We start from the raw sequence: 14756 nt of genomic DNA, 5'->3' as shown, positions 1-14756 counted from the left end.
TGGGCAGCCAGCACACCCCGCTGAGGGAGCCCCATATTCCCTACCCGCTGGCGGAGCCGCTTGATGTGGCGGAGCCGGGCAATCCACTTGGAGGGGTAGATATCGGTGGGGTTGGAGCGGCTATGATGCACCTGTGAGGCCATCTGGGGACGTAGGCAGGGGGTGAGCTCACTATCAGGTGGCACCTGGGCCTGTCCCACCAGCTCACGCCTGGACCCACCCCCACTCACATTTGCGTGCAGGGCCATCTGGCGGGCCACGAAGGGCAGGTTGCGGTCAGACACGATCTTGGCCACGCTGGTGTCCACAAGGCCCTCCATGTCTGGGGAGACTTGGTGGTCACGCCAGGCCCAGGGCTCTTGGCGCCACACTGCAGGGCCCCACCCGGCCCTACCTTTCCTGCACTGCAGGGCCCCACCCGGCCCTACCTTTCCTGCACTGCAGGGACACCAGGTTGCACTCGTAGTCCAGCGGGGTGACGATCACGTGGACAAAGTTGAACTGGCCCTGCCCGGACAAGAGAAAGGGTCATCCCCGCACACAGCGTGTGCTGAAGGCTGATCTCGGCTACTGCCTGGTTGCACTGCTAGACACCTGTCAGCTCCATGGGCAGCATCTGCCCCTGAACTTTCCCCTCTGGCAGCGGGGCTGTGTTTGTCTGGCCTCCCCCAGGCCAAGCCCCCTCCACATCTGGGCGCAGCACCCACATATGCTGCAGCCACAGGCAAGACACCTCTAATTGCTGGGGCACCTCCACTCACTGGGGCCCCCAGGGTGTCTGCAGCCACACGTCCGAATCCGTCTGCCCAGCCATGAAGTGAGCCGTGCACCCCATCTCGGCACCACCACACCCTCCTCAGCCGCCCAGGTGCCCCCCCCCCCCCAACTGGTTGTCTTGGCATCTAGCAGAGCCCACCTCCCTATGCTCCTGCCCCTCCTGGACTCTGACTACCAGCCCCGGGGTTTTGGTTCAGTGGCTGCCTCAGCATCCTGGGGCCCTTGGAGTGAGGCCTCCAGCCTATCTGCCCTGCCTGGGCCATGCCAGCTCTCCCCGCCATGCTGGGGCTCACCCGGACCGTGCTGTGACACTGGCCGACCCAGCCCACCTCCAGGAAGAGGGTGACGCTGGTTGCTGCCTAGTGGTGCGTGGCGATAACCAACTGAGCAGCCTGACAGCTGCCACTGGGGAGATGGTGGGGGCCCAAGGGCCGCGCCGGACAGACAGGAAGCACCAACTACACTGTGCCCACCCAGCACACCCAGTCTGCACTTGCCAGTTACTCCTGACAGACACTCAGCAGCAGGCGCCACAGGCTTCAGGGCACAGAGGACACAACGCAGGCTCGGGGTGAAGCTCGTGCCCACGGGGCCCTGAGCACTGCGGCCTCTCCTCCTGCTCCTCGTGACCGAAGCTCAGGGAGGAGGACCTGCCACCAACCCGGGACACAGCAGTGGGCACCTGCCTGGGGCCCAGCCTCACTGACGGCCCCTCACTCACCTTGATGGTGCCAAGCTTGAAGTCCTCACCGGAGTCATTGTAGACAATGGACACAAAGTCGTTGCCCAGGTGGCGCTTCTTGTCGCAGCGGTGCTTGTCCACGTCCTTGGTGGGCATCAGGGTGGCGATGTGGAAGACGGCTGAGGGTGAGCAGGGCCGGATGGGTTTGTGGGGCCAGTGCTGAGGCCCTCTGTGCCTTGCACTGGGGCACCTCCTGATTACTCCAGGGGCTCTGGGGGCCTGCGGGGACCACGTCCTCTGGTGCCTGGCCAGTGGTCCTCGGCTCTCCCCAGGGGCAGGGCTTTGGGACGCAAAGCCACCAGCCCCATCACTGCCTCCATGCCCACGCTGTTAGGCTCGGAACCTGAGGCGTGGGGAGCTGGAGCAGGTGGGGGTGCCAGGGCCATGCCCCAGGGCGTGGGGTAGCAGGACTGGATGGGAGCCGTGCCCTGAGGCCTGGGGCAGCAGGAGCGGGTAGGCGCCAGGCCGTACCTTGCATGATGTCATCGTGCCAGCAGTAGGTGAACTGGCCGTCCTCACCACACACGTCCAGGCCTCCCAGGTACACCTTGTCCGGCTGGCAGTCCTTCAGCTCGATGAGCCGGCCCAGGCCCGTCAGGAACTCCGTGTACCTGTAGGAGCCATGCTCATTGGACAGGATGGCGAGCTCGCTGTTGCTCTGTGGGGAGAGGGGAGAGGCAGGGTGGCATCACTCCCGGGCCGGGCCCTGCCCCGCAGAGGGTGGGGGTGCCCAGCAGGCTCTGCCGGGAGCCCCACTCTGATCCCTGAGGCAGACAAGACCATCCATTCCAGCAGCCACCCAGGCCAGACATCGGGTGTCATCCTTGACTCCCTCTCTTCCCTCAGCCCCGTGTGTGCCTGGCCGGCAAAATCAGGGAGCTCCACACTCAAAGCACACCCGGGGCCCTGGCCCCTCAGCAGCCTGCCCCCAGGGGCCTACCCCACTCCCACGGGAACCATCACCACCCACCTCCTCGAGCCACACAGCAGGAGGGACTCACTGAGACTGGGCGGAGTCAGGCCATGTGCCCTCTGCTCAGAAGCAGCCCAGGCCCTGCCCTTTCCCTTGGGATGAAGGTGCAGCCTATAGGGCGCTGAGGCTGCCCATCCTGTCGGCTCCCGTGCTCGCCCAGCACCAGTGCTCAAGCTGGGCAGGGTGCGCCCGGCCCCCGCTGCTGGTGTGTGGGATGCCCCCACCCCTTATGCAGGCTCCCCCTGCCCGCTCCCTCACCACTCAGCTGTCAGCTCACTGACCAACAGCGCCCTCCCCAGCCCTGCGACCGGTGCCACCCGCCCAGTCCTTCCCACTCCTTGGTGTGCCGGGTGCTCCCACGCTAACCTGTCACTCGCACCGGGGTCCCCAGCACTCAGAGCAGCACCTGGCACAGAGCTCAATGAGCACTTCATGCTGTAGGGGACCCGGCAGTGTTGAGCTCTGTGGGGCGTTGGGGGCCCAGACTCCCTACCCACTGCAGGCTGAGGCCCAGCTGGCCCTGTCCAGGCACCTAGGCCGGCCCCGCAGCCTCACCTGGCCTTCTCCAACATACAGGACGGCGATCTTGTGGGTGTCGTATGATGGGATCTGGTCGAGGAGCTGCACCGACCGCTCAAAGGACTGTGACTGTGGCACACAGAGCCCTGCCTGAGCCCCAGACGCCCGTCCACAGGAGGCCGCCCCACCCAGGCCGGTCACGGCAGGCTGCCACAGGGAGCTTAGGCCAGAGCCCTCTGCAAGCCTGAGCTCCCAGCAGCAGAGCTGGGCCCCCCACCATTCACCCGAGCCACACAGCTCCAGCGGATGCAGGAGAGGGAGGCCACGCCTACCTCATTGGGCAGCAGGATTGGCTTGTTTGACTCGTCGCCAAAGAAGGGGGAATGGTAGAGCTGCAGGAACACGAAACTGCACAGGGAGGGGATGGTGGGCACCCAGGTGAGGGCCTGGCCAGGGCAGCCACAGCCCACAGGGAGGAACACAGAGCCTGGCCATCTCCCACTCCACCGCCCTCCCAGGGGTTCCAGCCAGCCCTAGGGCACAGGCGAGGACCCCACCCCAGCCCGCTCGGCCTGGGGCAAGTGAGGCACCAGGTTCCCGCAGGAGAGGTGTCAGGAGCCCCGCCCGGAAGCAAGAGGCCCACCTGGGGTTGATGCCTGGCACTTTCTCTGCATTGGAGGCTGTGGCTCTGCTCTTTAAGGCGTCCCTCTCTACTCTCTTGCCCCTGCGTGATGGGGCCGAGTCGGAGATGGTGTAACCTCGGGGCCGGAGGCCACTGGGCGAGCGGGGGGAGCTGGAAGGCAAGGGACCCTCGGGCTGGCCCCGACTGTCTTCGCCCGAGGCCGACCAGGCAGCACTTTCCCCGTCCAGGGTCCCTGACTGTGACCGGGCCTTAACCTCAGGGCTCAGCCGGCCCACGTCGGCCTTGTCCCCAGGGTCCCCGAGGATGTCCTGCAGAGTCTGCAGCTCGGGAGAGGAGCTGGACTTGCTCAGGGGCTGCGAGGGCTGGAAGGAGAGGTCCACAGAGGGCCGGCCACCCTCCGAGGAGACGACTCGCTCGATGGGGATGCCCCTGCCAACCAGCTCCTCCGCGTGGAGCGACTTCTCCTCCTGGCTGGAGACTGAGGACGACTAGAAAGGACCATCCCAAAGAGAACCCCTGTCAGCAGGCACCCTCGAGCCCACCTGGGGTTGACCTGGAGGTGGTGAGGCCCTATCTGTCCTCCATCCCAGGGCCACAGACCAGCCCGAGCACCAGGCTACGGCCCCCGCCCGTTGACGCAGCAGCACTGCCACCAGCTGTGCCCCACACTGCGTGAGCAGAGGTATCAGCATCCCCTGAGACCACAGGCTGCCCAGCAGCCAGGGCCGGCCCAGGTGGATGGCTGCAAAGTGCAGACCGTCTGTGCACGAGGGATGTGGAAGAACATCTCCCCCAAGTTCAGAGCCAGTTCCCAGGGTGCAGGCACACCCACGCAGAGCCCTGCCTCCCCTAAGGAGCCCCCCGAGGTCAGCAGGGTCCAGGCTCTGAGCCACACTCACCCTGCTGTAGGCATCCGTGCGCCTGTCCATGCCTAGCGCTGCCTCAACGTCCTCCAACCCTGGGGGCTCCACCAGCACAGGAACCTCGCCCGGACTTCCCTCCTCCATGACCACGGCGGAGTCTGGGAGGACACAGACGGGGCTGCTGGATGTGGGGCTGGGCCAGGCCCTGGCCCTGACGTGGCCTCCGAGAACCAGCCTTCTCCTGACCAGAGGGACAGCAGCCCTGCGAGCCTCCCCAGGGCTCTGCTTACTGCTGCCATCCACCGAGCGGGCAGGGAGGACGCTGGGAAGGCCTGCACGTGACCCCGACACAGGCCTCTCCTGCATGAGTGCCCGGGGGTTGGGCAGGCAATCGGCTCTGCCCACCCTAGTGTCCACCAGCAGCCACCCCTGTGCCTCCAGGTAGGCAGGGGCAAGACGCTCTCCGCCCGACGGGCCTCAGCTCTAAAAGAGCGGGAGCCTGAAACCAGCCCTCGTAACCGAGGAGAGCTGCGGAGACTCCGTGACGTGGGGGAAGTCCCTGTTTGCAAACAGACTGCTCCCAAGAGCAGAGGCTCACCCTCCAACTCCAAGCCAGACCCACAGCTGGGGACGCTAAGGAGAGAGGGTGGGAGGTCCCAAAGCAGCATTTCCTGTGCCAGCGTCAGGACAGGGGGAGAGGAAGTAGAAGCAGCAACAGAGGGGACCATCACAGCCCCCGGGCGCCCCACAGCCCTGCACACGCGCAGTCAGCCACCCCAGGGCCCGTCCCACGCAGCCCTTCCAAACCAGCTCGTCTGCACGTGGAGACCTGGCAGGGGAGCACCATGCAGGTCACAGCACTCCCCACCAGGGCTTGGGGGCAACAGGCAGAGGTCGGTCTGCAGGGCCCCTGGTCAACCTGGGACTTGAGGCAGCCCCATCTGTGGGTTCCAGAGGCCAGGGGAGCCACCAAAGGCCAGGGCAAGGCCCGCTCGGTGCAGGCCCAGGGGTGGGCTTCCCCCTAAACAGCTGCCACCCATCAGAGTCTGCAGCTCAGCTGATGTCACCATGGAGACTCAGGCCACCCCCACCCCTCAGGCCTGAAGCTGGGCCGGGAGTGCTCGCACAGCGTGGGAACAGGGCTCAGCCACAAAGGGACCAAGTCAAGGGGATCCCGCTGGCCAAGCCAAAGACATTCTGCACAGACGTCCTCATGCGAGTCGGGACCTGCTCCCCAGGGCAATGGAGGCAGACGGACCATGGGGGTGGGCGGATGAGGCGACGAGCACAGCACCTATGAGGCAGAGTGGCGCTCTGCAGCCAACCGCTTCCCTCTGAGAGGCGATACCTGCCCAGGAAACGCTCCTGTGCAGCTGTCCTTGGCAGCTGGACTGGTACAGGGAGGAGAAAGAGGCCACTGCAAGGGAAGGCCGTGTGCGGCCACGTCAGCAGGAGGAGGGGCTACACACAGGTCGAGCAGAGAGCACAGGCCCCGTGCCTGCAGAGGAGAGAGGGCAGGGCCAGCGGCCGGCAGGGGCGCGCACGGGGCCCAGTGCTAGCTACAAGCTGCTTGGGCAGACCTGAGGAGGGCAGTGCCTCCCTCCTCCCGTGAATAGACGTCCTAGGCCGCTAAGTGCCATCTGCAGCCACAGGGAAGAGCCAGAGGGCCTGGCGAGAAGCACGGTGCCGAGTGGGGTGGGGGCCCAGAGTGCGCAGGCGGGCTCAGGTGTCCAAACCTGGGCCCAGGCAGGGAGGGAGGCTGCCGCAGAGCCTCCTGGAGCCCGCAGTGCTGGACTCCCCACGGAGGATGCTGGGCAGAGGCTCCACAGGGCCCCTACTGCTTCTGAAGCTGCCAGCCCCAGCTTCCTGAGCAGGGCAGACACCTCCCACGGGTCAGCCTCCTCCCAAACACCGGAGAACAATGGTGCTGAGGCAGGCCAGGGACCACTCCCAGCCGTGTGGGCGCCCTCAGCAGAGAGGAGCCACATTGCCGTCACCGGGAGCACCAGGCCAGTGGGAGCAGAGCCCGTGCCAAGGCCCGCCATGCCACTCACCTGTGTTGGAGCGAGGCAGAGGAGGGGGTTTGGCCGTGCTGGCTGCCGGCACCGACAGTGACTTGTACAGGGCTGTGTCCCGGTGCTCCTTGAAGCGCTCAGCCGCCATGAGGGCGTTAGACAGCTCCTGCAGGGGCATGTTGTTGATGTCCGAGGAGAAAGGGCTGAGCGGGTTCTCCAGGCTCATCAGCCAGCTGGTGTTCCCTGCGGAGGCGGCAGCACCTTTGGCCTGAGGCCAGTACCTCCCCTTACCCATCTCTGGCCCCCCAGGGGCCTCCTGGCCTGGGCCCTGGTTTTGCCCTCATGCTCCCTCCCACAATCCTCAGGACCACGATGTCGGAGCCAGCGCTGCTCTGACGGCCACCCACCCTGCTGCCCCGCTCAGCCCCTGCCTCGAGGCCAGGCTCCGCCAGGCACCTCAGAGCAGCGGCCTCCAGCCCACAGCCTCACAGTCCGGACCCAAGGCCTCCACGAGGGCTGGAACCCCTACTCTTTGCACCCCTCAGCCACGGCACACCCAGGCGCCCCTGGGCTCTGGGCCTCTGCAAAGGCCTCCCTCTGTCCCTGGGCTCTGGGCCTCTGCGGGGGCTCCCTCTGCCCCTGGGAACAGGCTGAGCTGTGCCCCCATGTTGGTATGCTTTAGTCCCAACCCCAGGAACTCAGAACGGGACTGTCTCTGGAGACTGGGTTTCAGAAAGCTAATTACGGCTAGCAAGGGACCAGAGCGGACCCTAAGCCATGACCGGTTTCCTCCCAAGAGGAGATTAACACGCAGACATCCAGGAAAGAGCCTGTGAGGACACAGGGAAAAAACCAACTGCATGCCAAGGATTGAGGCCTCTGAGGAGCACCTCCTGCCGAGGAGCACCTTGGTCTCGGACTTGCAGCCTCCAGGCGGGGAGGGCAACTCTCTGCCATGGAAGTCACTTGGTTCGCCACAGGCCCCTGCCCCACCTCAGCCACCTGGATCGCCCCTCACAGCTCACCTCTGGAGACTTACAAGTTACCCCCAAATGGCTGGGCGCGGTGGCTCACGCCTGTAATCCCAGCACTTTGGGAGGCCAAGGCGGGCGGATCACGAGGTCAGGAGATTGAGACCATCCTGGCTAACACAGTGAAACCCCATCTCTACTAGAAATACAAAAAAATTGGCCAGGCGTGGTGGCGGGCGCCTGTGGTCCCAGCTACTCGGGAGGCTGAGGCAGGAGAATGGCGTGAACCCGGGAGGTGGAGCTTGCAGTGAGCCGAGATTGCGCCACTGCGTTCCAGCGTGGGCCACAGAGCAAGACTCTGTCTCAAAAAAAAAACAAAAGTTACCCCCAAATATCCCAAGAGGGCCAAGTCTGCAATCGCCCCTGAGTGTCCACAGCTCTGTGGGTGACTGGCAGAAAGATGGCGCTCAGGCCAGCCCCGCCCAGTACCTGTGGGCCTCCGGACCAGGATCTCCGCCCAGCCCTGGGTCAGCAGGGGCACATAGGCCGCCAGGTTCGTCTTCTCCTGCACAGGAACCCGGGTGCCAGCTGAGGCCTTCTCAGGTTTCGCGGCTGGTGCAGTCCGTGGTCCTGGAGAAGTGGCACTGCCCAGGAACTGGGAGGCCGGCACGTCCAGGGCGCCAACTCGAAGACCATGGCCCCCTGAAGAAGAGGGCAGAGGACTGGTGACCACCACTTACCTGATGCAAAACCACCAGCCTCAAGCTGAATGCTCCCCCCGAGCCTGGCAAGCTAGTGCCACAGGCAGCCAGAGACGGTGGCAGCTCTGCCCTTGGGGCACGGCCCACCACAGTGCTGGCCTCAGTGAACCCAGGGCCACAGGGAGGGACCCAGAACCTGTCCTGCAGTCAGACCACGGCTCGCTGGAGCAGAGAAGGGCTCCAGGACTGAGCCGAGCTGAAAACCCGCAGGAAACACCAGCACCCAGAGCAGGCCCCTCTGCAGCAAGCGGGCCACACTCCACCACTCCACGGCTCTGGGGTGAGCTGTGGAAGGCTCACCCCAGAGTCAGGACGTGGGCCGGGCCTGAAGCCAGCCACCCCGGCCCCTGGGCTCGGGGCCTTCCTGAACACTGGGACCAGCAGCAACTGAGGGAGCCCCGGTGCCTGTGTGGAGGTGGCTGGGGCCAAGGCTCACCCGACATGGAACGGACCCGATCCCGGGCCCCACGGGACACCTGCTGCCCAGCCTGGGACTCCAGCTTGGCCGGCGCCTCCTTGGTCTGTCTCACATGCACCCCGGGGCTGGAGCTGAGAAGAGAATCCCACGCACAGGGTGGACTTAGTCCCCAGGCTGGTACGAGGGTGCCACGTGGGCCTGGGCTCGGGACAGCCGGTGTCGAGGCTGGCAGGCGCGGAGGAAAGGAAGGTGCAGTCACCTCGACTCCGGGCCGGACTGCAGCTCCCCCGAGTCCAGGCCTAGTAACGACCGGGTCCCGGTTCCCACGCTTGTCGTCACAGTGACAAGCTTGTTCCCAACCAGCCAGGTTTTGGTCCTGCCACCCGCTAGGAGGAACTCGCCCACAGGAGACCTAGAAGACAGGGAGCGTGAAACCCAGCTTGCCCGTGGAGCTCCCGCAGGCCCGCCCAGCCCTGTAGTGCCGCCTGGACCTCTTCGGGACAGCCGTGAAGTTGGAGAAGACGTATCGAGCCATCATGTCCAGACAGGTTTCCGTGAGCTCCAGGTGGAGGTTTTTCAGGCTATCGTCAGCCTGGGCCACGGAGTTCTCATCTGCAGACCCCAAGCTGGCACTGGTGAGGGACGTCTGTATCCTGCTGGAGGGAGAGGCCGTGACCAGGGTCAGGGTGCCAGGTAGGGCGGGCCGAGCCACCTATCACCAAGGGCCAAAGCTCAACGCATGCACGGCTGAGGACCTCGCTCGGAAAGACCCCAACAGGGCGTGGGCGGCCCAGCGAGCCTCAGCTTGAGAATCACGTGGACCACATTGTCCCAGAGAACGGGGAGACGCTGGGTGGGGAAGACCAGGCCTACTGGTCGGAGCAGACTCAGGAGGCTAGAGACCGACATCCCCCTCACCGAAGCCCACGGGAGCACTAGGTTACGGCCTCCTGGCGAAACGGTGTAGTCATGCAGAGAGGCGGAGGCCACACAGACAGGCCCAGATTGCATTCTGCCCGCAGGCTGCCTCCGGCAAGCACACAGAGGTCTGGGATCCCCATGTGGCCTTCCACCGTCACCCTCAGGCAGGCGAGCGGCTGCCTGAGCTCCACACCCAGTGACAGGGAAGAGGCTTATGGGAGTTCATTCTGATACAAATTTCATAGCCCCTAGGCAATATTTTGCTCATGATACAGAATGTGCTAGAAAATGGCTTTAAGCCTCACCGAGCACCTCTACCACCCCAACCCCTGGCCAAGTCCCACCCAGCAGAGGCCGGCCTGAGGTGAGGAGGTGGATGGACTGAGGGCCATGGGACCCCTTGGCCTGCAACGGGCTTCCAGGAGGAGACAGGTATCCCCTCTGCCAGTGCCAGCAGCGATGACCCACAGGCAGGTGACAGCCGAGAGCCCGAGAGCCCACACCTGCACCCAGACACTGCGGGGAGAACTAAGACCATGGCCTGGGGCCCAGGCCCATGCCCATGCCCTGCAGGATCCTAGCCCCCACCCAGGCCCTCCCAGGCTGCCCCACCCCAGCACCCTCCACAAATGCCCCTTGTTCCCTTTCAGCTACAACAAAAAATAAACCTTGTTGAGAAGAAAGCCCGAAGAAAAACGTCCATTCTAGAGAATACGAAAAGGCCAAAACCAGGAGTGGTGTCTCCCCCAACCCACACTGCGGCCCTTGGGGACAGCCTGGGGAGGCTGCTGCCCGGCACGCCTGGCTCTCTCGGAGCGGCACCCCGAGGGGGCCTGGGGATGCGTGCAACCAGCCCGTGCTCATACGGGGCCTGGGGACAGAATGCAACCTTTCCACCCCTCGTCACCGGCTCCCCCTGGGCTGGCCAGGGAGGACACGGGCAGACGATGAGGTCATGCAAGCAGCCCCATGCACTGCCACCCAGGTGCTCACGGGGCCAAGCTCCAGGGTCCGTGCCCCCCACCCGACAGTCCCGCTACCTGCGGACCACATGTTCAGACACACTGATGCTGCGGCACCGGAAGGCCTCGGCTGCAGAGCTCTCCTTGAATTCTTTCACGGGTGGAGAGTTATTCAAGCCTTGTTTGGGGGGTCTGGCTATCCTCAGACTATCGGGTGAGGAAGGAGCCCCAACGCCCCAGAGAGCCCAGCTCCCGGGAAGGGGAGAACAAGCCAGTGGAGGGGTGAGGAGGAAAGGTCCCAGGCCACAGGGTCAGGATGGAGAGATCCCGCGGGTGAGATGAGCAAAAAGAGCCATGCCAAAGGGCAGTTAGCGGGGAAGAGACAGAAAACAAAAATGCATGATAATACGTCTGGTAAACATGACTGAGAACAAGTAAGGCTTCACGCATGACACCAAAACAAACAACGTCAGTGCAAATTAAACGTGTGTGGGTCACCCCCACGGCAGATTCCAGGCTGTGCTGGCCAGGCAATCCCACCCACCCGCGGAAGGCAGGCACCGCCCAGCTCTGACCGAGGCGGCACTGAGGCCTCAGTGGCCAGGCCCTGAAGGTCACTAGGAAAAGAGACCAAGACCCCAGAAAGTAGTCTCTGGCCGTAATGGCCGAGCTTGGCCCCCGGCCCCCAGGGGCTGGAGACAACAGCTTCCGAGTTGAGGTCACGCTGGAAAATGCCGTATTCCCATCTAGGGAAAGCCAAAATAGCTCGGGCAGGAAGGTGGGGGACAGGAGGAGAAAGCCGTTCAAATGAAATGCAAACAAGAACACAGAGGCTGGCTCAGCTCTTTGCGGTCCGGCAAGGCGGCGGTGATGAAGCAGAGTCCCCGGCTAGCAGCAGGCTGGGGGCTGCAGAGGAGGGGGCAGCCCCAGACAAGGCCGGCTCCTTCGAGGGGCTCAGGCGCCTAAAGCTTGCACCCCAACCCCCAATTCCACAAGTAGGTGCCCGTGGCACACGCAGCCCGGACCCAGGCCACCACGGCCAACCTGCTGAGGGGCTGAGGGGTGTTAGCGGCCCTTGCAGGTCCTGCCCTGCCTCACATACTCCAGGGCACACAGGACCCATTTCCACTCACTGACTTGGAGGCACCGTCAGGCAGGCCACAGCCCCATGTCCTTCCCCACCCCACACCGACTCCAGGCACACCCCCGCAGGCCGTACCTCTTGGGTCTCTCGTTGAGACTAGTACTCCGGGCCCTGAAGCTGTCCTTCTCGGGGGTGTCATCAAAAGACAAGAGGACATTGGACCGCAGGCCCTGGCAGAGTGAGCACACCCAGACAGTGAGGGGTGGCAATGGGGGCTGGAGGCCCTCACCAGGCCTGCCGGGTGCCCCCTGGCCAGGGACAAGCTGCAGGCTAGGGGCAAGGCGGCGGCACCCAGCTCCCACCCCTCAATGCCTGCCGCGCATCAAAGCCCTGCAGGCTGCCCAGCAGAGCCCCCAGCGCCACAGGCACAGCCCCAAACACCCTCCCACTGCCCTCCACCTGCCTGTCACTCTGCCCGACCATGGACAGCCAAGGGCAAAGCAAGCCCTGGCCTACCGAGAGACACAGCCTTCACCGGCCCTGAGCCCACCTTAGTGATGAAAGGGACAAAATCCTTCCGGAAGGGCAGGCGGCACCTGATGAACCACATGGCTATGACGTGATGGGCCAGACACACGATGTACTGATTAAACCTGAGATGAGAAGGGGGCTGGCACTCCATCCTGGCAGCAGGGAAACATCCCCAGGGCATGAAGTGCAAAAAACCGAGGCGCTCAGGCCTTGGGGACAAAGGCTGCCGGGGCTTTCTGCCGCAAGGCCTAGCGGGGGCCACGGCTGGGAGGCACAGGGCCTGGGGCGACCACTCACTTGGAGGGGTTGGTGTACGGCAGGGAGATGGCGAACACACTGGCATACTGCTCCGCGGCAAAGTTCCTGTAGAGGTGCGGCAGCCTGGCCAGAGCTGCGGTAATGGAGAGGGTGGTCAGGGGAGCCGGGGTCCCGTGCAGCGCCTCTGAAGGCCAACACGGCTGCTCTGCCCACGGCAGCGATGGGGTGCTGCAGAGGAGAGAAGGCCACGGCCACACGGACGTGGCTTTCCCGACCCTGGCCTCAACTCTCGGTCCCATGGCCAGCCAACCACAGCTTCTGGGCCAATTCGAGCTGTCGCCTACCATTTGTGTGATCCGTGAGGAAAGGCTTCCGCACCTCTTTTTTTTTTTTTTTTTTTTTTTTTGAGATGAGTCTGGCTCTGTCGCCCAGGCTGGAGTGCAGTGGCGCGATCCCGGCTCACTGCAAGCTCCACCCCCTGGGTTCACGCCATTCTCCTGCCTCAGCCTCCCAAGTAGCTGGGACTACAGGCGCCCGCCACCACGCCTGGCTAGTTTTTTTGTATTTTTATTAGAGACGGGGTTTCACCGTGTTCGCCAGATGGTCTCGATCTCCTGACCTCATGATCCGCCTGCCTCGGCCTCCGAAAGTGCTGGGATTACAGGCGTGAGCCACCGTGCCCGGCCTCACTTCTCTCTTTTTTTTTTTTGAGACGGTGTCTCGCTCTGTTGCCCAGGCTGGAGTGCGGTGGCGTGATCTCAGCTCACTAGAAGCTCCACCTCCTGGGTTCATGAGATTCTCCTGCCTCCTGCCTTAGCCTCCTGAGTAGCTGGGACTACAGGCACCCGCCACCACACCCGGCTAATTTTTGTATTCTTAGTAGAGACAGGGTTTCGCCAGGTTGGCCAGGCTGGTCTCGAACTCCTGACCTCAGGTGATCCACCCGCCTCGGCCTCCCACAGTGCTGGGATGACAGGCCTGAGCCACCGCGCCTGGCCAGGCTTCTACACTTCTAAAGGGTTATCAACAAAACAGAAAGACCGACAGGACCTGCATGTGGCCCACAAAGCACACACGATCTTCTCTCCAGCCTCTACACCAAGTGCGGGCCCAGCAGTGCCCTTCTGCCATCTCAACATTGAGGGCCTGCCCAGATGCGCACAGGCGGTGAGGGGAAGGGACAGGCACCTGAGCTCCTGAAGTCACAGTCTGGGGGAAGCGAACAAAGCCCCCCTGAAGCGGCGTGTGCTCTGTTGGACAGAGAGGAGGCCCAAAACCAGGGGAGGGCCACTGCTCGGGGGGGAAGAGGCTTCTTCAAGGAGGAGCGTTCACATGGACACTAGAGGGGTGAGAGGAGCCGCCCCTCAAAGCCAGGAAGGAGAGCACTCATGGCAGCCGGGCAGAGACGCCCAGGCCCTGAGGCAGCAGAAGGCGAGACACCCAGGTTCCCCAAGGAGTCCTGAGAGAGGGCACCAGAGAAGCCCGCACAGGTTACACAGCCCGAACCTCTCGGGTGCATGCGCAGGCAGGGCGGGGACTCACTGGACAGGAACTCCAGCAGTGGGACGGCCATGCTGGCTGTGGCTGAGATGTGCGTGAGCTTCACCACCAGAACAGGCAGCGCCTTGATGATGATGTCAGGCATCTCCACGCTGCAGATGGACAAGGCCACGACGCACTGGCTGGCACAGCGGTGGATGAGGCCCTGCTCCAGGCAGTAGACCATCTCGCGCTGCAGGAGACAGGACACCTCAGGCCCCACCCGCTTGCAGCAGAGGCAGCCTCGCCTACCCCTCGCCAACCTCGAGTGCTCCACCGGGAGAACAGCCGAGGCTTAGCAAGTCCCTGAATGCCTGTGGGGCAGAGCCAGCAGTGCTGAGCTACCCGAGCAGACTCTGCACAGCAGACTGCTCCGGTCAGTTGCATTCCGACACGATCCCACAGGCCAACAGAACCCAGACATGCTGGGCTCTCATCCCCTGGTTCTGGGCCCTTCACAGGCTGGCTCTGTTGCAAGGGGCAGTGCTGCCTGAAGTGGCCAAGCCACCAGATCCCACACCAACCCTGGGCAGTGTCTTCCATGAGGACAGCAGAAGATGAGCGGAGCTCAGGCAGAGCCCGGGGCCAGATGGCCTGCCAGGCAGTGTCCCGGGAACAGCTTCCATTTCCCAAAGCCGGCCTCACCCCTCGGATACACTGTGGGCCAGTAAGGCCTCAGAACCTGCAGCCCAGCAAGGCTGGCTATGCTTTGAGGCAAGACCCATGAGGACCCAGTGAGCCTCTCAGAGGGGCTGAAGGGGCCCAACAGGGTGGGGCTG

At 64.0% G+C, this 14756-nt stretch overlaps 1 protein-coding gene across 52 annotated transcripts in view, besides 1 other annotated feature; it reads right to left on the bottom strand.

The window, feature by feature from the left end:
• TSC2 (TSC complex subunit 2) overlaps positions 1–14756 on the bottom strand; it is a 41507-nt gene that overhangs the window by 1122 nt on the left and 25629 nt on the right. For 15 of the 52 annotated variants that reach the window (NR_176227.1, NR_176228.1, NM_001406668.1 and 12 more), the window contains 18 exons: positions 13981–14170; positions 12478–12571; positions 12200–12302; positions 11785–11879; positions 9174–9335; positions 8942–9094; positions 8701–8813; positions 7993–8205; positions 6572–6775; positions 4554–4675; positions 3655–4142; positions 3344–3419; positions 3048–3140; positions 1991–2177; positions 1499–1638; positions 429–507; positions 231–322; positions 45–143 (listed from right to left, as the gene is read on the bottom strand). Coding sequence is in view for 47 of the 52 variants with exons in the window: in NM_001406668.1 (NP_001393597.1) it covers positions 45–143; positions 231–322; positions 429–507; positions 1499–1638; positions 1991–2177; positions 3048–3140; positions 3344–3419; positions 3655–4142; positions 4554–4675; positions 6572–6775; positions 7993–8205; positions 8701–8813; positions 8942–9094; positions 9174–9335; positions 11785–11879; positions 12200–12302; positions 12478–12571; positions 13981–14170 (2703 nt within the window). In the remaining 5 variants the exon portion in view is untranslated. Of the gene's footprint in view, positions 1–44; positions 144–230; positions 323–428; positions 508–1498; positions 1639–1990; positions 2178–3047; positions 3141–3343; positions 3420–3654; positions 4143–4553; positions 4676–5811; positions 5935–6571; positions 6776–7992; positions 8206–8700; positions 8814–8941; positions 9095–9173; positions 9339–10643; positions 10773–11784; positions 11880–12199; positions 12303–12477; positions 12572–13980; positions 14171–14756 lie in introns of all 52 variants that reach the window. The other 37 variants (NR_176225.1, NM_001406693.1, NM_001406667.1 and 34 more) reach the window with 13 other exon arrangements.
• Positions 9239–9948: an enhancer, noted in NCBI's record as "H3K27ac-H3K4me1 hESC enhancer chr16:2128423-2129132 (GRCh37/hg19 assembly coordinates)". NCBI's record gives its function as "activates a minimal SCP1, AML or CMV promoter by ChIP-STARR-seq in naive H9 embryonic stem cells {active_cell/tissue: H9 hESC(naive)}" and the evidence as "EXISTENCE:reporter gene assay evidence [ECO:0000049][PMID:30033119]".

The sequence above is a fragment of the Homo sapiens genome, chromosome 16, assembly GCF_000001405.40.
Source record: "Homo sapiens chromosome 16, GRCh38.p14 Primary Assembly".
NCBI lineage: Eukaryota > Metazoa > Chordata > Mammalia > Primates > Hominidae > Homo > Homo sapiens.
Note: the sequence above shows the minus strand (reverse complement) of the source record. Positions and strands in the feature narration are given on the sequence as shown.